At 37.5% G+C, this 24,965-nt stretch overlaps 2 protein-coding genes and 1 long non-coding RNA gene across 5 annotated transcripts in view, besides 4 other annotated features; 2 read left to right on the plus strand and 1 right to left on the minus strand.

Annotated features, from left to right (window-relative positions):
• Positions 1–7,026, plus strand: part of DSG1 (desmoglein 1) — a 41,087-nt gene extending 34,061 nt beyond the window's left edge. The window contains exon 15 of the mRNA NM_001942.4: positions 2,077–7,026. Coding sequence (NP_001933.2) covers positions 2,077–3,126 — 1,050 coding nt within the window. The 3' untranslated portion in view covers positions 3,127–7,026. The remainder of the gene's footprint in view (positions 1–2,076) is intronic.
• DSG1-AS1 (DSG1 antisense RNA 1) overlaps positions 1–24,965 on the minus strand; it is an 83,621-nt gene that overhangs the window by 8,853 nt on the left and 49,803 nt on the right. The window contains exon 2 of one of the 2 annotated variants that reach the window (NR_110788.1): positions 2,092–2,233. This is a non-coding gene — a long non-coding RNA (DSG1 antisense RNA 1). Of the gene's footprint in view, positions 1–1,679; positions 1,717–2,091; positions 2,234–24,965 lie in introns of those variants that run through there. The other variant, NR_110789.1, reaches the window with a different exon arrangement.
• Positions 862–1,480: an enhancer, noted in NCBI's record as "NANOG-H3K27ac-H3K4me1 hESC enhancer chr18:28933045-28933663 (GRCh37/hg19 assembly coordinates)". NCBI's record gives its function as "activates a minimal SCP1, AML or CMV promoter by ChIP-STARR-seq in naive and primed H9 embryonic stem cells {active_cell/tissue: H9 hESC(naive and primed)}" and the evidence as "EXISTENCE:reporter gene assay evidence [ECO:0000049][PMID:30033119]".
• Positions 862–2,629: a biological region, named in NCBI's record as "MED14-independent group 3 enhancer GRCh37_chr18:28933613-28934812".
• Positions 1,430–2,629: an enhancer, noted in NCBI's record as "MED14-independent group 3 enhancer chr18:28933613-28934812 (GRCh37/hg19 assembly coordinates)". NCBI's record gives its function as "activates an origin of replication core promoter dependent on BRD2, BRD4, P300/CBP and CDK7 cofactors, and independent of MED14, by STARR-seq in HCT116 cells {active_cell/tissue: HCT116}" and the evidence as "EXISTENCE:reporter gene assay evidence [ECO:0000049][PMID:35650434]".
• Positions 1,481–2,098: an enhancer, noted in NCBI's record as "NANOG-H3K27ac-H3K4me1 hESC enhancer chr18:28933664-28934281 (GRCh37/hg19 assembly coordinates)". NCBI's record gives its function as "activates a minimal SCP1, AML or CMV promoter by ChIP-STARR-seq in primed H9 embryonic stem cells {active_cell/tissue: H9 hESC(primed)}" and the evidence as "EXISTENCE:reporter gene assay evidence [ECO:0000049][PMID:30033119]".
• Positions 24,557–24,965, plus strand: part of DSG4 (desmoglein 4) — a 38,133-nt gene continuing 37,724 nt past the window's right edge. For both annotated transcript variants that reach the window (NM_177986.5, NM_001134453.3), the window contains exon 1: positions 24,557–24,739. In NM_177986.5, coding sequence (NP_817123.1) covers positions 24,692–24,739 — 48 coding nt within the window. In that variant the 5' untranslated portion in view covers positions 24,557–24,691. The remainder of the gene's footprint in view (positions 24,740–24,965) is intronic.

Here is a 24,965-nt window from a genome sequence, read left to right on the forward strand (position 1 = left end):
ACTTATGAAGCTTAGTTTGGCTGGATATGAAATTCTGGGTTGAAAATTCTTTCCTTTAAGAATGTTGAATATTGGCCCCCACTCTCTTCTGGCTTGTAGGGTTTCTGCTGAGAGATCTGCTGTTAGTCTGATGGGCTTCCCTTTGAGGGTAACCCGACCTTTCTCTCTGGCTGCCCTTAACATTTTTTCCTTCATTTCAACTTTGGTGAATCTGACAATTATGTGTCTTGGAGTTGCTCTTCTCGAGGAGTATCTTTGTGGCATTCTCTGTATTTTCTGAATCTGAACGTTGGCCTGCCTTGCTAGATTGGGGAAGTTCTCCTGGATAATATCCTACAGAGTGTTTTCCAACTTGGTTCCATTCTCCCCATCACTTTTAGGTACACCAATCAGACGTAGATTTGGTCTTTTCACATAGTCCCATATTTCTTGGAGGCTTTGCTCATTTCTTTTTATTCTTTTTTCTCTAAACTTCCCTTCTCGCTTCATTTCATTCATTTCATCTTCCATTGCTGATACCCTTTCTTCCGGTTGATCACATCAGCTCCTGAGGCTTCTGCATTCTTCACGTAGTTCTCGAGCCTTGGTTTTCAGCTCCATCAGCTCCTTTAAGCACTTCTCTGTATTGGTTATTCTTGTTATACATTCTTCTAAATTTTTTTCAAAGTTTTCAACTTCTTTGCCTTTGGTTTGAATGTCCTCCCATAGCTCAGAGTAATTTGATCGTCTGAAGCCTTCTTCTCTCAGCTTGTCAAAGTCATTCTCCATCCAGCTTTGTTCCGTTGCTGGTGAGGAACTGCGTTCCTTTGGAGGAGGAGAGGTGCTCTGCTTTTTAGAGTTTCCAGTTTTTCTGTTCTGTTTTTTCCCCATCTTTGTGGTTTTATCTACTTTTGGTCTTTGATGATGGTGATGTACAGATGGGTTTTTGGTGTGGATGTCCTTTCTGTTTGTTAGTTTTCCTTCTAACAGAGAGGACCCTCAGCTGCAGGTCTGTTGGAGTACCCTGCCGTGTGAGGTGTCAGTGTGCCCCTGCTGGGGGGTGCCTCCCAGTTAGGCTGCTCGGGGGTCAGGGGTCAGGGACCCACTTGAGGAGGCAGTCTGCCCGTTCTCAGTTCTCCAGCTGCGTGCTGGGAGAACCACTGCTCTCTTCAAAGCTGTCAGACAGGGACATTTAAGTCTGCAGAGGTTACTGCTGTCTTTTTGTTTGTCTGTGCCCTGCCCCCAGAGGTGGAGCCTACAGAGGCAGGCAGGCCTCCTTGAGCTGTGGTGGGCTCCACCCAGTTCGAGCTTCCTGTCTGCTTTGTTTACCTAATCAAGCCTGGGCAATGGCGGGCGCCCCTCCCCCAGCCTCACTGCCGCTTTGCAGTTTGATCTCAGACTGCTGTGCTAGCAATCAGCGAGACTCCGTGGGCGTAGGACCCTCCGAGCCAGGTGCAGGATATAATCTCGTGGTGCGCCGTTTTTTAAGCCCGTCGGAAAAGCGCAGTATTCGGGTGGGAGTGACCCGATTTTCCAGGTGCCGTCCGTCACCCCTTTCTTTGACTCAGAAAGGGAACTCCCTGACCCCTTGCGCTTCCCAAGTGAGGCAATGCCTCGCCCTGCTTCGGCTCGCGCACAGTGGACGCACCCACTGACCTGCACCCACTGTCTGGCACTCCCTAGTGAGATGAACCCGGTACCTCAGATGGAAATGCAGAAATCACCCGTCTTCTGCGTCGCTCACGCTGGGAGCTGTAGACCAGAGCTGTTCCTATTCGGCCATCTTGGCTCCTCCTCGAAACCAATTCATGTGATTTTTTTGTGTATGGTTTTATGTCCAAAGTACACAATTATAAATAAGTCCATCTAAGTAAATTTTTAAAATCATAGTATTAGAATTATACTTAAAATGATTTCTAACCAAATTATTTCAAATAATTATAAAATGATTTTTAGAGCATCTCTAGTATGTTAAAATCTTGTTTTATTTCATTCCTCTTTGGAAATGCTCTGGAAGAAAAACTAATGATAAAGGCTGTTCTATTATTGTTAAATATGCATTCATAATTTCATTTTCTCTTTCTCCTATAAATTCAGAAAGCATATGCTTACGCAGATGAAGATGAAGGACGCCCATCTAATGACTGTTTGCTCATATATGACATCGAAGGTGTAGGTTCCCCTGCTGGCTCTGTGGGTTGTTGTAGCTTCATTGGAGAAGACCTGGATGACAGCTTCTTGGATACCCTGGGACCTAAATTTAAGAAGTTGGCAGACATCAGCCTAGGAAAAGAATCATATCCAGACCTTGATCCTTCTTGGCCACCACAAAGCACTGAACCAGTTTGCCTTCCTCAGGAAACAGAGCCCGTTGTTAGTGGACACCCACCAATCTCCCCACATTTCGGCACTACCACAGTAATTTCTGAGAGCACCTATCCCTCGGGACCTGGTGTACTGCATCCTAAGCCTATTCTCGATCCTCTGGGCTATGGTAATGTCACTGTGACCGAGTCTTACACCACCTCTGACACTCTGAAGCCCTCTGTGCACGTTCACGATAACCGACCAGCATCAAACGTGGTAGTGACAGAGAGAGTGGTCGGCCCAATCTCTGGCGCTGATTTGCATGGAATGTTAGAGATGCCTGACTTGCGAGATGGGTCGAATGTTATAGTGACAGAAAGGGTAATAGCACCAAGCTCTAGTCTACCCACCTCTCTGACTATCCATCATCCTAGAGAGTCTTCAAATGTGGTAGTGACAGAAAGAGTAATCCAACCAACTTCCGGCATGATAGGTAGTCTGAGTATGCACCCCGAGTTAGCCAATGCCCACAATGTCATTGTGACAGAGAGGGTTGTTTCTGGTGCTGGCGTAACTGGAATTAGTGGCACCACTGGGATCAGCGGTGGCATAGGCAGCAGTGGCCTGGTTGGCACCAGCATGGGTGCTGGGAGCGGTGCCCTGAGTGGAGCTGGCATAAGTGGTGGTGGCATTGGCCTGAGCAGCTTGGGAGGGACAGCCAGCATTGGCCACATGAGGAGTTCCTCTGACCATCACTTTAACCAAACCATTGGGTCCGCCTCCCCTAGCACAGCTCGAAGTCGAATCACAAAGTATAGTACCGTGCAATATAGCAAGTAGTCAGGACCCCAGCTCACTTTTTCATAGTCATTGTGGTTTAGATCCAATTCCCACCACTAAAAAACCAACAATGTGATTTATAACGCACAACTTCGTGCTCAGGTCATCTAGGAGCAAGGTGAGAAATCACAATGAGAAAAATAAATGGAAACACCACTGCTAGGGGAGAGCTCTCCTTAGCATTCATAAACTTTTCTCTTATATTAGGACTAAGGAACTAAAACTTGAGGCAGAGTCTTCTTTGTGCCTGAGTGGCCTGTAGTCCATCTCCAGCATGTAACTGGCCTTACGATGGCAATTGGCATCATTCTCCTTGCTCTGTTTTGCTTTTCCATATAGCTCGAGCAAAATTCAAAAAGAACTAAATATGCAATATATGTTCATATCTATGGGAAAAATCTAAAATGTGTGCCAGATGCCCTGTTGGTTTCACAGATAACATAAATAAAAATTCAACCACAGATTTATACAAGGGTTAACCATTTTTTTTAAGTTTGACTACATAGTCAAGTCCACAAGCCATCAAGCACTCCTACCTTAATTATTGCACTAGAGAAAATAAATTCCAAATTAGGAAGTGTTTCCTAGGAGGAAAATTCCATTAGAGAGTGGCAATAGGATGAGGTTTCTTCAGGGTAAACTAGCAATGCCTGAGCCTGAACCTTAATGTGGGGCCTCAGTTAAATCTCCTGTGGAGTCAAGGATTCTTCTGATTCTAGTGTGTGTTTAGTGATAGATGTAGTCTTGACGAATATTGCTTACTGGTGAGGTTGAGGAATATCACACTCGTCTTTCCCTTTACCACTGTGGTTTTGACTTAAGAAAGCAAAACTCACTAAGTTTACTTCTCGAATTGAAGCAAGTGAGGCCTGACATGGTTGTCATCACTAGTGGCAAATGACCTTCCAAGTAAGCAGATGGGAACTGAATTGTGTTTTCAGGTTTTGTTTTTAGTAGGTGATATTCATTCGTATCCAGCTCTTTATTACATAGCTCTGAAGTTAAAATGATTTACATAGGCCGAGCTGTGGACAAAAAAAAAAGAAGCAGCAGCTTGTAGTATGCTTAAGCTTTGGGGAATTTTTTTTTAAGGGGATCTAAAAAAATGTTTTTAGAACATGTAAAATGTTTAATGGTGAAAGTTGGAAAAGAATTCTTCTGTAAAGTAATACCATGCTAATTATTCGCTTTTAGTAAGTAAAGTAGTGGTTGCTTTAGCAAACCTCTGCTGCCATTTTGCAGGAATCAACCAGGAACCTTTAGCAGAATTGACAATATGGTGTTGATAAGCATGAAATAATAATAGAAACCTATTCTGCTAGTTTATCTCACCCTCTAATTTTTCTCACTAGCATAAATTTTAAATTCCTGATTTGATTTGTCAATAAGATCTTGGCTTATATATGCTGATTTATAGGTAGTGTCCAAATTATATAGTATAACATATTTTTCTAGTTTCAAAATTTAGTAATGTCCTATTTATGATATATCATTTCTGTGTGTTTGCTATGTAGTATTACCCAATTAAAAATCTCTAAAAAGAATTAAAGCATTCTAAGAAAAAGGTAAATTTACTATTGCATGGTACAGAAATTTTTTCTTTCTTAAATACAATGTTACTATAAGCTCACTAAAATGAAACTCTATATGACAAAATAAAATTAGAAAAAAATTTGCCCTGGAGTTGTGAATTATATACAACTTTTAAAGAATTTACCCCAATTACTCAAATTTCCCAGGAAATTACAAAGCCAAAGAATATTCAACTTCCTCCACTGGTCAAAAGAGGATAGGAGTGAATTACTGAACCTAGAGCTATTTTGCTCTGTAACAACAGATAAGGCTAATATTTTAAAAGCCACAGTATACATCTTCTTTTAACTCTGTAGAATATGTAAAATTTTGATAGTCTGTAGTATGCTAAATGCAGAAGTATAAATAAAGTCATTCAAAGGGAGTCTTTTCTTTTTCTGACACTTAGGGGGCCACATTAAGGATGGGTAATCTTTCCAGGAATAAAGTCAAAAGGTATTTATTAAGACATACTTGAGTATGCCTGGGTCCAGGAGTTTTAAGGAATAGAAATAAGTATTAATGAATTAATTAAGTAATTTATTAAAGGGAATGGTAGCTGACCACAGGAAACTTGCTTACTGTTTTGATATGAAATATCATCACAAGCTTTTCTTAAGACATCTGATATCTTCCAGAGATATTTTTTAGGTTGTCTTGCAAACAACAAAATCACTGTCTTTAATAACTGTTGCTGTCAAAATCCATTGGTTGTTAAGATCCCCCCAATTTAGTTACATCTGAACTCCTAAACACTGTTAAACGATGGGAAAAACAAGAAAAAACATGGCCATTTGAGTCATTGAGTCATCTATCTTTCTAGGAAGATACTTTCTAACCAAACTTTTCTTCCAGGATTGCAAATTGATGGGAAAAACAAGAAAAACTGAAGTATTAGTCACCTATCTTTCTGGGAAGATACTTTCCAACTAATTTTTTCTTCCAGGATTGCACACTGATTTTCCATTTAGTCCTAAATTTTAAAATTCCCTTTTCAAGACATCAACGATTTTAGTAGTTATTTAAAGGCATGTCATTTTTCAATGAAGAAGTTTTGGGCAGAACTTCATTCTTCTTCTTAGATGTTTACTCTAGATCATATACATCATGTCATAGACCAAGAAGAGATATGGAAATTATTTTATAAGTGAATACTATAATTAGGATTCAAGCTGAGTTTCAGATCAACTTGCTCTTAACAAAAGGAAAAAGAAATAGTAATTTAATACTATGTATGTATGGTTTGAAAACAAACCACAATGTTTATAAAATATCTATCTGACTGTCTAAAGAGGTAATCTTTAGGAGCAAAAATCAGTGTATTATAAATACTTTACCATTTAATATCAACCAAAATACCATCTCAAGCTAATTTTGACACTGAATTACAGATATATCTGCTACATATTATTTACTTCTAAGCATGTTGTCTGATGTAATTGCATTTGCACTGAAAAATTAAAAGAAAAAGTACATATTTAGGGTTATTTATATATCTTCATCTAGACATCTGTTCTACATTTGTGTATAAAGTTTTTAGCATCATAATTTTTATTCAAGAAAATGTTCTGACAAAATTTTAATTATATGTCTTCAAAAATTACATTTTTTACTCTAGTAAGTAGATGTTTTTAGTTATCTGGCAATTTATTTCTGAATTTATACCAATGTTTGATTGTCATGGTACAAAATATATGACACCCTTTAACTTTTGCTGGAGTTGAAAGGCATTATAATCTTTAGCATAAATGGCCATGACTATTTTGGAAAGACATTTAAGACCCAAAGCAAACTTTTAAAAGTATTTGCCACATTTTCCCATGCCTATTTCATAAATTCCAACTTTTTTTTTTACAATTTCTGGATTTTTAAGACCCATTTCACATTGCACTAGGATACAGCAGTCCACAGTAGAGTGCTACTCTCCTTGAAATCAAATCTGTCTTCCACTTCCGGATTATTCAATTTATGTTAGGACAAATCTTGACTAGATCAACCTGTTTTCCATCAGATAATTTTAAAACAATGTGTAATCTTGTTTGTCTACATTCTCTCCCCAGTTTAGCTGTATTTGAATTACTAAATGCTTTATCGTCAAACTGTACCTAGTCTAACTTATTTTTCTTTTGCTGTCGTTTTACAAGCATTTTAAAATTCTAATATTCATCTCTGGTGGTGTTTAACACAAGGTTCTCTTATTCAAGTTTCAATATAAAAGTTTTTGGATTATTTGGGTGCTAGTTTCTTGCTTGGTTATCTGTTCGTTTTTTTAAGTTGATTTGTAATTTCCAAAGAGTTATGCATACAGCAATAAAATTATTAATATGCCTCCCTTATCTTTTCTGAATTGTAAGCAAGGGGGAGGTTTTAGACTGTAAAACCAAAGTTATCAAATCTAGTTATTATCATCCTGTATTGGAGGAGATACAATTCTTTTATTTTCACAATGTTAAAATATGTTTTCATTCTCCATTTCCTAGCTATCTTTTTTTAATGTGTACTGAGGAACCTACTCTCTGGACCACTAATTATAGATGCTAGAGCCCAGCCTTGACCAGGTGGTTAGCCCCACAAATGAACAGATGATAAAAAGCTGCATTTTTAGTTCTTATTTAATACTTGTAGCATCTTTATACTTTTACCTTTCTTTCTTTCATACTCTGCATTTTTATTTTTGCCTACACCAGCATTTTATTTCTTTTAAAATGACTTTTCTTCTTTTTTGCCCTTTAAATCATACCCTTTCATCTTTACTGGGATGCATCTCCTTTTGTTCTCCAATGCCACTTCCAGACTATTATCAACTTCATCTTGCACAAAATCTTACCTCTTTCAGACTTGTATGATCCTTTCCCTCTCTTCTCTTCTTCATAATGTCTCTACTTTTAATGAAGGCTCCAATATCCTGGCCTAAAGTCTTTTGTGACTTTCTTAACTTCTGAGAGTGTTCATAGTAACTTAAACATCCACGTGGATGAATCACCCAAGGCCCAGATTCTCATTTCTAGACCTCCATTTCCCCCCTCCACTCAGCTGTCATTTCTTTTCATAACCTGGCATATTGGTACCTGGAATGCCTCAGTTTCTGTCTCTACAGCCTCTGACCATTTCCTTCTCATCCTTCCAGCTCATGGGCTCACATTGTTGTCATTACTCCATTTCATCAAAGCTTCAATGTGTTGACTCCCACCACTTTCTCACTGTCAGCTTCAACTCTCTGTCTAATCTAGCTTCATGAGTCCAACTAGAGTCACCTCTTTGTGAATGCCTTCAACCTACTTGCCCTGCTCTCTCTCCCTCACCCCAGACCTTTTGCCCTCCATCTCTGTCTGCACACAAACAGCCAAACAAATTATCCAAGTGAGCTGACTTTTTAAATATTAATCACTCAGTCTCAAATCTCAGCATAACATCAGATACTTCCCTGAAATTCTATCTGCTTCTCTTATAGATGTCCCATCTCATCATACTAGATTGCTACTCTGCATCTTCTCTGTCCTCAAACCTCCCACACACCCTCTTCCCTTCTCATTCTTTGTTGATGATCTAATCCTGTTGTTCAAAAGTCATCCATTTCAAATGCATTCAACTTCCTCTGCGAAACCTCCATATCCACCTGTACTTGCACCCATCTTCTCCTCCCTCCCATGGGCTTATTCCATGCATTTGTGGCCTACTCATACAAAAACACAGTCCTCCAGTTCTGCTCAAATCAAGGACTTTGCTCCTTCCCTAATAGTCTCTTTCCTATTCTTTTTCCTCTCTCTCTCTCTTTCTGTTTCCTCTCCTTCTCTCTCTCTTCTCTCTTTTTATCTTCTCTCTCTCTTTCCTCTCTCTTTCTCCTGTCTTTTTTCTCTCTCCACTCTCTCATTTTATCTCCTCTCTCTCATTCTCTTCCTGTCTCCTCTACTATCTCTCTCTCCTCTCTTCCTTCCCTTTCCTTCCTCTCCCTAGAAAATTTTCATCTGCACCCCTCCTTGTAGCTAATGCCTCATTTGTTTGCTTGTTTCATCAAGCTTCTTGAGGTTCACGTACACATGCTGTCTTTTCTTTTCCATGTCCCATCAGACTTCAAAGTCCTCCCATCAGATTATCATAATGGTCCTTACCAAGCTTGTCTAAGATCTATGCATTGCAAGAACAAGGCCTACTTTTCTCTTTTCCCTCTTTCTTAACCTCTGGGAAAAATATCTAAAAAGTAACCCTTCTCTCTTCCTTGAAACACTCTTGTGTCTTGGCTTGTGTAACACCATTCTCTCCTGATATCCCTTGTATTTCATCAGCCAGTCTCGCTCATTCTATTTCCCTTGTTCCTCATTTATCCAATCCAAAGTTTGATCCCAAGCCCTCTTCTCTTAACAATTTACACTGACTCTGTGAGACCTCATCAGTACCCCTTTTTAAATGTTCAAAATTAAACTTATAATTTTACCTCCAGAGTTTCCCCATTCCAATCATTATTACCCTGTCTACCCATTACTCAAACCAGAAACTAAGTACTCCTTCATCTCATTCTTTCTCTCACTACCGAAATTTTATCCATTCGGAAGTTCTGTTTATTTTATAACCAAAATATATAGTAAGCCATTTAATAGTTTGTATTAGTCCATTATCACACTGCTATAAAGATACTACCTGAGACTGGGTAATTTTGAAAGGAAAGAGGTTTAATTGACTCACACTTCTGCATGGCTGGGGAGGCCTCAGGAAACTTACAATCATGCTGGAAGGCGAAGGGAAAGCAAGAACCTTCTTCACATGCCAGCAGGAGAGAGAAGCATAAGCAAGGGAAATGCCAGATGCTAATAAAACCATCAGATGTCATGAGAACTCACTCACTATCATGAGAACAGCATGGGGGAAACCACCCCCATGATCAAATCACTTCCCTCCCTTGACACATGGGGATTATAATCCAAGATGAGATTTGGGTGGGGACACAGAGCCAAACCATTTAATAGTTTTAATCCTTATCTGTCACCATCCTACGGGCAACTGCCTCCTAGGTAGTCTCTCTGCTTCCACATCAGCCTTCTTCAAATAATTTTCTATAGATGAACCTAGGTGACCTTTTAAAATATTAATTAGGTTGAGTCAACCCCCTATTTTAAAAATTTCAATGGATTTCCAGTGAATGTCCCAGAAAAGCCTGCAGGGAGCTGCCTGATGTAGTACTGGTCCACAGTGGATGACAGTAATTTGCACTATGATTGTTGTAATGGAAAAGTTGAAAAGAAATGAATTAAGGAAACGTTTTGGCTTTTGCAAATGGTATTCACTCTGCATGAGTCCTCCTCACTTTTATATGGCAGCATCCTTTCCTCCTTCAGTAGCAATTTAAATACTATTTCCTCATATATTCTTTCCTTCGTCAATGTTTTCACGTATTCATTCATTTACTCTATGGATATTTATTGAATTCCAAATAGTTATACCAAGCAGTGGTGACATGACAGTGAAAGATAAAGTCCTTCTCCTCGTGGAGTTTATGATCAAGATAGAATGGAGATGGGGGAAGTCTGACAATAAAGAACAAACAAGTAAATATATGATATGTTAGATGACAGTAAATGATCAAGGGAAAAATAAAGCAGGATAATTCAGGAAAGGGATTGCAGGGCATGAGGGATGCACTTTTATATAGGGTAATTGAGGCAAGGTTCTATTAGAAAGTAATATTTGAACAGAGATTTGAAGAACATTAAGGAGCAAGCCATGTGGCTATCTGGATACAGGACATTTCAGACAGAGGGATATTCATGGAAGAGCAAGATCTCTGTGTGTGGAGAGATTAAAAGAAGGAAAGCAGCAGGAGGTAGGATCCCAGAGGAAAGGGTTGAGATTGAGTTTGGCCTTGCAGGCCATTCTAACAGACTTATTCTGAATGTAATGGAGAGCTACTTGAGAGTTGGGGCTGAGGAGTGCTTTGTTGAGGTTTGGGGTTGTTTGTTTGTTTTGAGATGGGCTCTTGATCTGTCATCCAGGCTGGAGTGCAGTAGCATGATCATGACTCGCTGCAGCTCAACATCCTGAGCTCAAGAGATCCTTCCACCTCAGCCTCCAGAGTAACTGGGACTACAGACATGAGCCACCATCTCCTCCTAATTTTTGTATTTTTGGTAGAGACACAGTTTTGTAATGTTGTCCAGGCTAGTTTCGAACTCCTGGGATCAAGCAATCCTCCTGCTTTGCCCTCCCAAATTGCTGAGATTATAGGCATGAGTCACTGTGCCCAGCCTAGATTTGTATTTTTAAAAGAACATTCTACCTACAGTGGTGACACTTTAGGAAGGAAGTCACAGAATCAAGAAGATATGTTAAAGAGCTACTGCAATAATCCAAGTGAGTGAGTGATACAACCATAGCAGGTAGCAAAACAAGTGACAAAAACAAAACAAAAGCCCTGGACAGATCAATAAAGTACCATACAGAAAAAAAAAAAAAAAAAGGAAAAAAGTTCACTGAGCAACAGATTAAATTTAAATCTCACCATGAATTGCCTTGAAAAAACTCAAACATAGTAAGTACAAATGGAGAATGTTAGGTTGGTCAAAAAGTTTAGAAATGATGCCAGTTTCTAGTCATCTACTTGGCTATTGAGTTCATATAAGACAAATTCCGGCTGACCCTGAGAGACTTGCTTTTCCTAGTTTTATAAAGAAAGCTGAGCAACTTGGTGTATCCCAGTCTGTGCCTGTTTCTCAGTCATATCTCTTCTTTCTTCAGCTCTTACATAAAACCTAGGAGGAAGAATTTCTGCCTCCAGAACTTTCTCAAAACTACTCAGAATATCAGGCTCTGATTCGTACCAAAGTTTGTATCTGGTTGGACCCAGAATATGATTTGTCACATTTTTTCAAAGAAAAATGTTTTGATCCATTCAGTTTATTAACTGTCTGTCTCAAAGTATATGCCAGTTTCAGCTTAATAAATTATAGACATGTGATTCTCAGCTTGTTTTGACCACTGCCTTATATTGGGCTCATCCAAATGCAAACTCTGAGACAGGATTAGAGAGCAATTTTGGAAGGAGGTAGAGGAACCACTGGTAGATAACAGGGAGATGCAACATGCAAGGGAAATCTACCAATAAATTGTACCTATCAAGCCAATTAAAACCATGGGCAATAGAAGCTTAGTCCTCCTGGGGAAAACACTGGGAGCCAGTGTAGTACATGCCCTGCGGTTAAGCCATCGGAGAAATAAGGGAGATAGTGTATTTATACATACCAGCTGCCATCAGTTAATAACTAAGGGCCACTTCTTGAGATAGTTAATTCCCTGCGTCTGCTGCAAAGGTGGGCAAAGTGGCTTTGGCATCGGTGAAGTGAAAAAATGCAGGAGCTGGCCCTTTGGGTGCGTGGGCACTGAAATGATAGGAGAAAAATATGGAGAAAGCTTTGTCAAGGTCTGTTACAGCTATTGGGATATTGCAGCACTCTGGTAATAGATGACATGAGAAACCTCAGAATTTGCTGACATGACAGGCCTTTCTTGAACATTTCCCTGTAAATAAGAATGGGTCAGATGCTACCATATTGATAGATTAGGTAACAAAACCCAGTGGCGTGAAATAGAAAAGTCTTCAGGTCCCCCATGTCATTAACTTGTGCCTTCATGGTTTTATATCATTTATGTTAATTAGATGCTTGCCTCCCATACATGGTTACACATATAACCATTTTTCTATAATACATGACTTGGCTTTACCATTACAACTTAGGTATGGCCTGAAAAATTGGTGGTTTTTTTTTTTTTTTTTTTTTTTTTTTGAGATGAAGTCTTGCTCTGTGGCCCAGGCTGGAGTGCAGTGGTGCGATCTCTGCTCACTGCAAGCTCCGCCTACTCGGTTCATGCCATTCTCCTGCCTCAGCCTCCCGAGTAGCTGGGACTACAGGCACCCGCCACTACGCCCAGTTAATTTTTTTTTTTTTTTTTTAGTAGAGACGGGGTTTCACCCTGTTAGCCAGTATGGTCTCAATCTCCTGACCTCGTGCTCCACCAGCCTCGGCCTCCTAAAATGCCGGAATTACAGGCATGAGCCACCACGCCCTGCCAAATAATTGGTTTTAATATCTATTTGCTGCCAGAAGGAAAGGCTGTGAGTTCATTAAAGTTATCACTTTTTTGTAAACATAACCCCAACATTTTAATAAGTTGTTACTAATAACATCATACCAATCTACCCAGTCTCTGAGAGATGTTCTCGCACCTAGCTTATTTTAAAAGGTGTAACAGGCCAGGTGCGGTGGCTCACACCTGTAATCCCAGCACTTTGGGAGGCTGAGGCAGGCAGATCACTTGAGGTTAGGAATTCGAGACCAGCCTGGCTAACGTGGTGAAACCCCGTCGCTACTAAAAACACAAAAATTAGCCGGGTGTGGTGGCAGGCGCCTGTAGTCCCAGCTACTTGGGAGGCTGAGGCAGGAGAATCGCTTGAACCCAGGAGGCAGAGGTTGCAGTGAACTGAGATCACGCCATTGCACTCCGGCCTAGGCGATAAGGGCAAAACTCCGTCTCAAAAAAAAAAAAAAAAAAAGGCACAACAAAAACGTTATATTGCCATTAGTTGGGTATGCAAATAATTAAATAACAAATGTTGAATTAATGTGTGATGCACAGAGGTCAGCACAGCAACAAACAGATAACTTGTTGAGCACATGAATAAATGCAGTCCATTTATACTCACATGGTTCTAAAAGCCATCCTTGCATTGACAGTCTATAAAAGAACTGAGACCGTCAATTACTTCATATTGCTTATCAAATTCTCACCACTCCAAACAGAACTACTTTTTCCAAATTGCTCATTGGTGTGATGGCACCTGTTTAAACTGAATGACAATATGGCTATGTTTTGTGAGATTGTAACATGTGTCTTGGCCAATTGTCTTACATGCATTTTAGGAAAAGATTAGTTATGTAAAAATTTAGACTTCACTAGTTTTTAGTTAGAGCTGTAGGGTAAAGAAAAAATAGTTTGCTTTTTACCAAATATTTTTCAAATATTTGAAAAATAAAGTCCAAAAAAAGGGATTCTAAAATTGGAACAAGAATATGTCTTTCTTCACATAAAAAAAAATCATAGTGGTAGTAGAAATGTACTCCTAGAACTCTGTGAGACTGATAAATAAAACAACATATAAAAGATCACCTGATAGATGAAATCAAACACATGGAAAGATTCTGAACCTGCTAAACTCAAGAACAAGTGTTGTTCTCTGGGAGAATAAATGTGATTTTTCTATCTCATGGAGAAAGAATATTTTATCAAATATTCCTACAGCTTAGGTGAAGGGTATGTCAAAATATCTACTCATCTTTGCTCTCCGTTCATGACCAGTGAATAATTTTTGGACTGCTACCTTGATTGCTATGGCAAGCAGAGGGCATTCTTTGCAGAGAGCATATGAACTTCAAAGTTATTGCCCATGAAAAGAGCTATTACTCACTGCAAATTGATAAATTAATATTTTGCCTTATACATCATCTTATATAAACTTGGCTACTGAGAATTCATCACCAAGAAAACTAATCTGATTTCAGTATAAAGACAAAAATAAACATGAGACTGGAAAACTGGAATATAAGCCTTGCAGTGGGGAAACTCAAGACAAGTGACATAATTAATAGGCTTCATTAGTAATGGAGCTCAGTCCTCCTTAGAAAAATCCTGGAAGCCTTCTGGCTGGTCTTCTTTAACCAACACTTTTATCAAAAGCCTAAAAGCCTTCCTTTTACAACATTATGGTTTGTGAAGTGAGGATAATGAATTCTATTTTTAAGATGAATAATATATTTAATAGTCATTAAAACCAAAATAAAAATTAAAAATTAATATAAAATTTTAAATACAGGTAGACAATTATCACAAATTATGTGTTATAAAGCAGAGTAGCAAACAAAAAAGAAAAATTTTATTTAATAACTATCACTAAAAATTAGATCTTAATATATAGAAAAAATCAAGTCAGATCTATACCTCATACTATAGGTTTTAATGAACAAGTGAAAGATATAAACGCTAGAAATTCTGAAAGACAGAACACACTCAAAGAGGATAAATTACATGTTATTTTCTTTACATAAAACTATCTAATTTAATCTCCTAAAATTCACCAGGAAGGGAAATAGATAAGGAAACTGTAATTTAGAGAGCTAAATTAACTCGCTTACAGAAACAAACCAAGTTAACAGAAGTTTTGGAATTTGAAGCAGATCTAAATCTGTACATGTCTCAATATGCCTCAGTGACATAGTACATTTACCTAAACTATAAATAGGGATATAATTATATAACTATTGACAAACTAGAACCATAATTAAGAATAAATAAGCTAAAAATATGTACATTTCAACTTCTACAAAATAAAAACTGACAAAGATGATAAAAATGAAGACATCGAGAATGTGCAGTAAATGATATCAGAGTTAAGACATTCTTACTCCACTCAGCTCTATGAAACCAATAAATAATAAATAAAAAGAGAAAATAATCCAACTTCAAAAAGAACCTAAAAATGGCTATTAACCCTTCTGCCGCAAACAAACACATAACACAAATAATGTCTACTAAATACAGTAAAATTTGTATTCAAATTAATAACATTTAGAACTAGTTAATTTTCCTTCAGATCTCTTTCAGAGTTGCTATTGCCTAAATGTTCATGTCCTCTCAAAGTTAATATGTTGGGTTCCTAATCCCCAAGGTGATGGTATTAGGAGGTGGGACCTTTGAGAGGTGATTAGCTCATGAAGGTGGAGCCCTCATGAATGTTATTAATGCCCATATAGAGTAAGCTTGCTGCATCACATTACCTGACTTTAAACTATACTATAAGGCTACAGCAACCAAAACAGCATGGTACTGGTACAGAAATAGATACATAGACCAATGGAACAGAATAGAGAACTCAGAAATAAAGCCACACACCTACAGCCATCTGCTCTTTGACGAAATTGATAAAAATAATCAAATGGGGAAAGGGTTTTCTATTCAATAAATGATGCTGGGATAGCTGGCTAGCCATATGCAGATGAATGAAACTGGACCCCTACCTTTCATCATATACAAAAATCAACTCAAGATGAATTAAAGACTTAAATGTAAGACCTCAAACTGTAAGAATACTAGAAGAAAACCTAGGAAATACCATCCTGGACATTGGCCTTGGCAAAAAATTTATGGCTAAGTCTTCAAAAGCAATTGCAACAAAAACAAAAATTGACAAGTGGGGCCTAACTAAACTAAAGAGCTTCTGTACAGCAAAAAGAACTATCAACAGAGTAAACAGGCGACCTACAGAATGGGAGAAAATATTTGCAACTATTTATCCAACGATGTCTAATATTCAGAATCTGTAAGGAACTTAAACAGTTGAACAAGCAATAAACAAATAATCACATTAAAAAGTGGGCAAAAGACATGAATGGACACTACTTAAAAGAAGACATATAAGCAGCCAACAAATACATGAATAAATTCTCCAACATCACTAATCATCAGAGAAATGCTAATTAAAATCACAATGAGATACCACCCCAAACCAGTCGGAATGACTATTATTAAAAAGTTTAGGAAAAAAAAAACAGATGCTGGCGAGGCTGCAGACTGAAGGGAAAGCTTATACACAGTTAGTGGGAATGTAAATTAGTTCAGCCACTGTGAAAAACAGTTTAGAGATTTCTCAAAGAATTTAAAACAGAACTACCATTCAACCCAGCAATCCCGTTACTAGATATATATCCAAAAGAAAATAACTCATTCTACCAAAAAGATACATGCATGTGTATGTTCATCACAGCACTACTCACAATAGCAAAACATAGAATCAACCTAGGTGCCCATTAATGGTGGACTGGATAAACAAAACGAGGTACATATACACCATGAAATATACACAGCCCTAAAAAAGAATGAAATTGTGTCCTTTGCCGCAATATGGATGCAGCTGGAGGCGATTATGCTAAGTGAATTAATTCAGGAACAGAAAACCAAATACTACATGTTCTCACTTACAAGTGAGAGCTAAGCATTGGTACTAATAGACATAAAGATAGCAACAATAGACACTGAGACTACTAGAGTAGGGAGGGAGGCAAAGGGCAAGGGTTGAAAAACTAACTATTGGGCCCGGCACGGTGGCTCACCTGTAATCCCAGCACTTTGAGGAGCCAAGGCAGGCAGATCACAAGGTCAGGAGTTCAAGACCAGCTTGGCCAACATAGTGAAACCCTGTCTCTACCAAAAATACAAAAATTAGCTGGGCATGGTGGCGGGCATCTGTAATACCAGCTACTCTGGAGGTTGAGGCAGGAGAATCGCTTGAACCTGGGAGGCAGAGATTGCAGTGAGCCGAGATTGAGCCACTGCACTCCAGCCTAGGCAATACAGCGAGACTCCGTCTCCAAAAAAAAAAAAAAACAACTAACTATTGAGTACTATGCTCAGACCTGGGTGATGGAATCAATCACACTCCAAACCTTAGCATCACACAAGGTACCCATGTAACAACATGTACCCTCTAAATCTAAAATTAAAGTTGAAGTTGTTTTAAAAAAAAGAAAATACAGATTTAAATTACAATAAGATACCACTATGTGCTTATTAGAAGGGCTAAAATTAAAAAGTCTGCCATACCAAGTGCTGGTGGGAAAGCAAAATGATACCTCAAGTTTGGAAAGCAGTTTGGCAGTTTCTTAAAATGTTAAACATGCATCTACACCATGACCCAGACATTCTACTCCCAGATATTTACCCAAGAGAAATGAATGTCTATAAATCTGTACAAAGATGTGTACACAAATTTTTATAGCAACTCTATTTCAGATAGTCCCAAATGATAACAATGCAAATGTTCATCAACAGATGAACAAAGTTTAAACAATTGTACTATACTTATACAGTTAAATACTACTCAGCAATTTAAAAAAAGAATGAACTATTGATGCACAAAACTCTGAGTATGAATCGCAAAATAATTGTGCTGAGTGACAAATGTCAAGCAAAAAATGAACACACTGTGTAGCCCCATATATAAAAAATAAACTATACCTTAATAAATATATAACATAACATATAATTTCATAAAAAGTAAATTAATCTCTAGTGATAGAAAACATATTAGTGTTGCCTGGGAATACGGTAGCTGGGTAGGGTGGGAAGGAAGAATTATAAAGTTGCATGGGGAAACTTTTAGGGAAAATGGATACGTCCCTTATCTTGGTTGTGATGAACATGGATGGAAAATTCCTAAACAAAATAGTCACAGACTGAATCCAGGAATATACCAAAAGTACTAGTGACCAAATTTGAATTTGTTACCAACAATGCAAGATTAGGTTAACATTAGAAAATCAATCCATGTAATATACACATTAATAGATTGAGAAGAAAACATATCATCTTCCCAATATATATGACATGTTTGCTAAAATCCAGCATGTTCTTATGATTAAATATTCCTAGCAAATTATGAGCAGGAGATTTTCTTAACCTTATACACAATTTCTATAAAATCAATGAAACAAATATTATACCTGATAGTGGAATATTAAAAGTTTTCTCTTTGAAATAAAGAAATAACAATGATGTTCACTATCACAGCTTCATTTAACATGGCATTGATGGTTCAAAAAGTAGGAGGAAAAGGTTATAGGGACTGGAAGAAGAAGAAAACTATCATTATTGTCAGATTAAAAGATCGTGTAGTCAAAACTCCAAAAGAATCTTTGGATATATCATTCCAATTTTAAATATGTATTTAACAAAATTACTGAACACAAAAATCAAAAGGCTGAAATCAATTGTATTTCTATCTGCAAGAAAATGTAATTAAAGAAATATAACATTTATACTAGCATCAAAGGAATCTCAAGTACCAAACAATAAGTATTTTAAATGCCTCTGTGAGACCTTGACAGGGAAACATAATTAAACTGTATTAAATAAACTTTTAAAAAGAGATATGTTCTCTGTTTATGTATTCTAATACTTGAGCCAAAATTGAAATTTGATTCTTTCCAATTTACTTAAACATATTTTGCAATCCTAATCAAAATTCTAGTTCACCTGTGAAATAGATAGCTGATTTTAAAATGTACAGGAAATACAATTGTCCAAGAATAGCCAAAACACTCGAATGGAGCAAAGTGGGAGAACTTTCTCCATCAGATATTAAGATTTACTACAAAACTATGCAATTAAAATGAAATTAGCAATGACATAAGAATAGACAAGTAAGTAAAAGGAAAAAAGAGTATGCAGTTTAAAAAGATACACACTTTTATGAACACTTATTTTTATTTAAATTTTTAATATTTTATTATCGTTATTTGTATATTATTTATTTTATGCACAGATTTTGACTTATTATAGCTGGTATTGTAAGCAGTGCAAAAAAACACACTGTTTTCAATGAATGTGCTAGGACATTAAGGTATCCATACAAAAACAAAGATGAAATTGACCCTGTACCATTTACAAAAATCATCTCCAGGTAATTTAGAGATGTAAACGTGTAAGGCAATATATTATAGGTACATAAAAAGCTTTCTTAAACAAGACATAAGAGCATTAACTATAAAAGAAAGAATTGATAAATGAGGACTGAAAATAAGAGTTTCCAGTCACGATAAGAACTCATTAAAAAATTTAAAAGATGAACCACAGAATGAGTTCAAAATATTTGTAATGCATGTAACCAACAAATAATACATAGATATGCATAACTTAGAGCACTAAAAATTATTTTTAGCAAAGAGAACAATGCAGTTTAAAAAGGGGGAAATGCTTTAATATGCAAATATTAAATGTTTATATTAATATTTAATATTAATGACATTAATTTAATATTAATATTAACAATTAATACTAATAACAAAGAAAAATGCAAATGGCCAATAGACATATGCAAAGATGCCCAACACAGCAATAATCAGAGAAATGCAAACAAGATATAATACTCATCCTACAAATTGGCTAAAATTTAAAAGTCTAATAATGCTTTTGATATTGATGTTGGTGAGTAAATAAAACTCTCCTTAAACTGCTGATGGGAGCTCAGTTGGTATTCTCTAGCAGGTTAAAAAATGTTAACTTATGACCCAGAAATTCCACACCTTGATACAACCTAGGGAATTCATGTACATTTGCTGACATAAAGGAGACATGAGGAAGGAAGCAGAGATGATGTGATTGCTGGAAGGAGGACATAAGCCAAAGAATGAAAGCAGCCTCCACAAGCAGGAAATAGCAGGGAAATACATCTATTCCTAAGAACCCCTAGCAGGAACTAACCTTGCCCAAGATTCACTGTGGACTTCAGACCTCCAGAACAGTAAGATAATAAATTTGTGTTGTTTTAAGTCACTAAGTTTGTGATAACTTACTTACAACAACAAATACAGAAAGTTTGTAGTTTACAACAACAAACTAATACAGAAAGCAGAATTGTTTATAAAAACCTATCCTATGCGAAAACATAATCATTATCAATTGCAAAAAAAAATCAAAACAAATTCAAAAAATGCAAATTACGTGAATTGTGACACGTATGACAGAGGCTGTTTTCTCTCATATACAAAAGTACATGAAAGAACCAGTATTAAAGACATCAGCAGCCCAGTGGAAAACCAGGAAAAAGGAAATAAATATTTCAAATAAAAAGAAATATAAATGGCCAGTATCTCTCCCCGGCCCCTGGCCCACCCCATGAAGAGATGCTAATCTTATTCACACTAGAAAAATGTTTTTGACTGGGTGCCATGGCTCACGCCTGTAATCCCAGCACTTTGGGAGGCAGAGGCAGGCAGATCACTTGAAGTCAGGAGTTCAAGACCAGCCTGACCAACATGGTGAAACCACGTCTTTACTAAAAATACAAAAAATTAGCCAGATGTGGTGGCGGGCACCTGTAATCCCAGCTACTCAAGAGGCTGAGGCAGAATCGCTTGAACCCAGGAGGTGGAGGTTGCAGTGAGCTGAGATTGTGCCACTGCACTCTAGCCTGAGTGACAGAGGGAGACTCTGTCTCAAAAAAAGAAAAAAGAAAAATGTTCTTTTTTACCTGGTGCCATTTCTCCCTGGGCCACCCATAGGGCCACGTGATTACCCTGATTCAATAATTCTTCAACTTCAGCCTGCCTCCCGAGAATTACCTAAAGAGTATGTTAAGAATGAATAATTCTAGATCTCATCCCCAAAGCTTCTGATTCACTAAATTTGGGGCCAGGGAACCTGCATTTTCTACATAATGGCCTAAGAAATATATTTCAAAAAACACTGCCTACCTTTTGACCTTCCTATTGCTGGATTTCTTCCTCAGACATCCTGAGCTGACCAGATTCCATAGTCGAGGTTGCCAGATATATAACTAACAGCATCAAAGGTTAACCATGTACATGATACAACTTTGTCATAAGAGGGACACTGCCAGTGTCACTGAAGAAACCAGAGTGACATCTAAATAATTATCACACTGTAGAATGGTTGCCACTGTAGTCATCGGGAGGCAGGAGGCAAACTAAGATGATATTTCCTAGATAAGTATGTAGCAAGTATGCAATAAGTATGTAAGTAATACGCTTTATTTAACATACAGCTAGAAGCCACGCTCTTCTGTCTCCACTTATTTGGAATACATCCTATACCTGTGAATTCACAGAGATAATCAACAAGGCATCTCTGTCAGGATGTAAGCATGATTTTAGGGTGTAAACTAACATCATCTTTATGGAAATAACATAACTCTTTACGAAACTGATGTTTAATCTCTATGATTTCTAACACCCACTAAATAACCTGGTTGGCCGGCCCCTTGTTGCCATACATAAGTTGCCTTTAATGAGGGGACAGGATGTTTATCTTCAGTGTGGTAGGTGAACAGACATGTGTTCACAGCAATGACTCTAGGTCAAAACCCTGACAAGCCTTGTTTACCTTTTGTCCCCGCCTCCCCAGGCCCAGGCAGATGAAAACCTTTTGCTTGCGTCAGCTCTGGAAACAACTTGTGCTGCATTTGACCACCATACTTTAGGACCATAATTATTTTTTAAATTTCCTTCCCCCTAACTCTTGCTTTCAAGAAATAGAATTGTCCTTGGATATTTGAATAATATCCAGTAGTAACCCTAGACTAGAATAATTTGATGGAAAAGTTTGCCCTAATGTCATTTCCACAATATCTTTGTCTGTATAAATTACATTTCTGTTTTTCAAAGAGGACTTGTATTGGCATGTATTGAATTCCTTGCCTTTTGTGGCATTGATTTGAAAAGTACAGGTGTTAAAGCTCTCACTGTGTTCTACACAGATGTGATGTGGAGAATAAAGGTGTCTTGCTACTTTATACAATATTATAGAAGCATAAGTACAATAATTAAATATCAGTAGCATCCCTAAAAGCCAATGTATGGTTTCATCTGAGCAAATGAAATGTCACTGGTTTGACATCAAAAATAAATACTATAAAAAACTTGCTAAAAATTCTGCTCATAGAACCAACAGTTCAGTAAACTCTAAAGTATGGGAAAGTCTTTTAAAGCTAATAGTGTTTAACCATCCACTATTTTGCCTTCACATACGTAGCTAATAATGAAAAGTGGCTTGGTATTTATATAAACTGACTATGAATGAGGAGATGGAACTCTTGCCTATCTTTGACCCTAATAAACCATACAGCCTCCCTAGACTATCACTATCACATGGGTAGGAGAGAGGCAAGATAGGAGAGATTGGATTATATGATCTCTGTGGTATCTTTAAGCATTAATGTTTTATGCTCTGTTTCTACAATGACTGATACTCTTCAAGAGAAACGGAAGTAGCTACTCTTTATCTACACAAGCTCAGAACCATAACCAAGTTTTGTCTTTGGGAATTCCACTGTAAAATCATCCATCCCCTGTGGGAAACAGTAGCTCACACCTGTAATCTCAGTACTTTAGGAGACCAAGGCAGGAGGATCACTTAAGCCCACGAGTTTGAGACCAGCCTGGACAATATAGCAGGACCTTGTCTCTACAAAATATTTTTAAAATTAACCAAGTGTGGTGACATGCACCTGTAAACCCAAGTACTTGAGAGGCTGAGGTGGGAGGATCACTTGAACTCAGGAGGCAGAGGTTGCCGTGAGCTGCACTCAGACCACTACTGCACTCCAGCCTGAGAAGCAGAGCAAGACTCTGTCTCCAAAAAAAACTTTAAAGCAAAAGATCATTCCCACAAATCTCCAAGGAGTAAACAGAAATGAAATGATGGGGCTTCAGGTAGTTCCTCCTTAGTTACTGAAGAATCTTTTAAATATGTTCATAATTATAATCTGGATTCAAATTCTGGATACCATTGAAATCAGGAGTTTCAAATGGAGAAAGCTAGAGGTACCCACATAAATGATCTAGTACCTATTTCTATTGCTTCCTGTTTCTTTTCTTTAAAACTCATCCTATAAATAGCATTCAAGTAGATAGAAAATCTTATATTTAGAAGAAAATATAAGAAAAATCTTATATGTAGAAGAAATCATCTATAGTGTAAACAAAAGATAGAGACCTTTGTGAAATATCTCCTTCAAACACAACAATAGAGAAGAATGTTGTTTTTCCCTTGTAAAAAGCAATGTCACTTAAAGACCTGGAGTTGTTTCATTAATTCTCTTAGGCAAATTAAATTATCTAATTCAACATGACATGAAATAATGCAAAAGTAAATTACTTTATCTGGCTTCCAAAAATACTAAAACTACTTTTCTCAAGAAACTAAGCAATACTTAGAATACATTCTATTACCAGGGTCAACCTTGTTTCTGAATTACAGTGATGGGATAGTGAAGACAGGAGGCAGTCTCCCTTTGAAATTCTCCAACCAACATGTATTATCTATCAATCAGAGAACAGTTAACTGCATTTTCTTTTAAGTTTATTGATGTTGCTGCCAGCCTGCAATGTTTGCATCAGGACACTCTATACCCTGTTTCAAACCCATACTAACAAAGGAAAAGGGAGACACGAAAAAGGGAAATAATATTCAAAAATATCCAGATCCCACTCTGGGCTTTTTTTCATTAAATTCTCACGTTTCCAACTTCAGTTTCTCCTTAATAAATATTTGTGGTGGTGTAAAATGTGTTCCTCACCCACATTATGTACTTTTTATCAGTGGTAATACTATGAGAAGTGAGAATGTTGTATTGTAGTTACTTTAAAATGATTTTGTAAATATCATATTGTAGAGGTTTGACTGAATAATCAAGAAAGAAAATGCCAAAGTATGGAAACAAACATACTGGTACTAGTTAAATCAGAGTTCCTTCATCTTAACTTTGTTATTTCAGAAAATCTTTAAAATTGAGAGTGCGGTTCAACCACAAGACATTTTAAAGAGAGAAGCAGGACTCAACTGAATTGAAATGAGCGTCATTATTCTATCTTTCTTCCTATACCATACTTGAGTCCTGATGACTTTCAACAATGGCCTCTGCTAAAAGTATCATTCCTTGAAGTGGGTTCTGCAGTGGACATGTGTGTGTATGTGTTGTCAGTATATGTAATTTTGCTTTTACAATGTTGGCAGTAAGAAGAAGCCTTCTAATTTTATTCAGCATGATGATAGGCCCTAGCATTTTAATTATTTTTTATGTTGTGAGTAATTTATTATTCACTGGCTATCTTCCCTGTAAATCTTGTCCTCGCTCTGTAAGGTTTTTCTTTGGTGTCCAACAAAGGGTTTCATTGCAATAAGAATCAAGGTGTGTCTAAATTCTTACCCAGAGCCCAAACAATGCCAGTCTTCCAGACCAGCCTGGGAGTTTGGGGTGGGGAAACAGTCATTATAGAATATCTTCATCTCTCTGCCCAGAGATCACCACAGTTATCACCCATGCCCTCCTAAAAGGGTGTCTCAAAGCATATCTTTCTGTAGAGCAGAATTCGGAACTGAGAAGACGAGGGCTCAAATTGAATCTCACAGGATTTGCGTGCAAGAGAAACCCAAAGGAATGGATTGGCTCTTCTTCAGAAACATTTGCCTTTTGATCATTCTAATGGTAAGTAGAATTTAAAGAGGTGGGAAGGAAATGCAGCCTCAAGGTCTTGTCTCTGTCAACTGTCGGGCTTTCTACATGGGATTTATTCCATTTTTAATCTCCTTCCTGCAAAGAGAGTTCTAGAAGTCCAGCCTCTGTTAATTTCAAACAACTCTCTCCGCCTTGAGGAACAAAATGCCATAGAGAAGCGGGGTGAGAATCTGGCTGAATTAAATTTATATGCCCT

Source organism: Homo sapiens, chromosome 18, assembly GCF_000001405.40.
Source record: "Homo sapiens chromosome 18, GRCh38.p14 Primary Assembly".
Taxonomy (NCBI): Eukaryota; Metazoa; Chordata; class Mammalia; order Primates; family Hominidae; genus Homo; species Homo sapiens.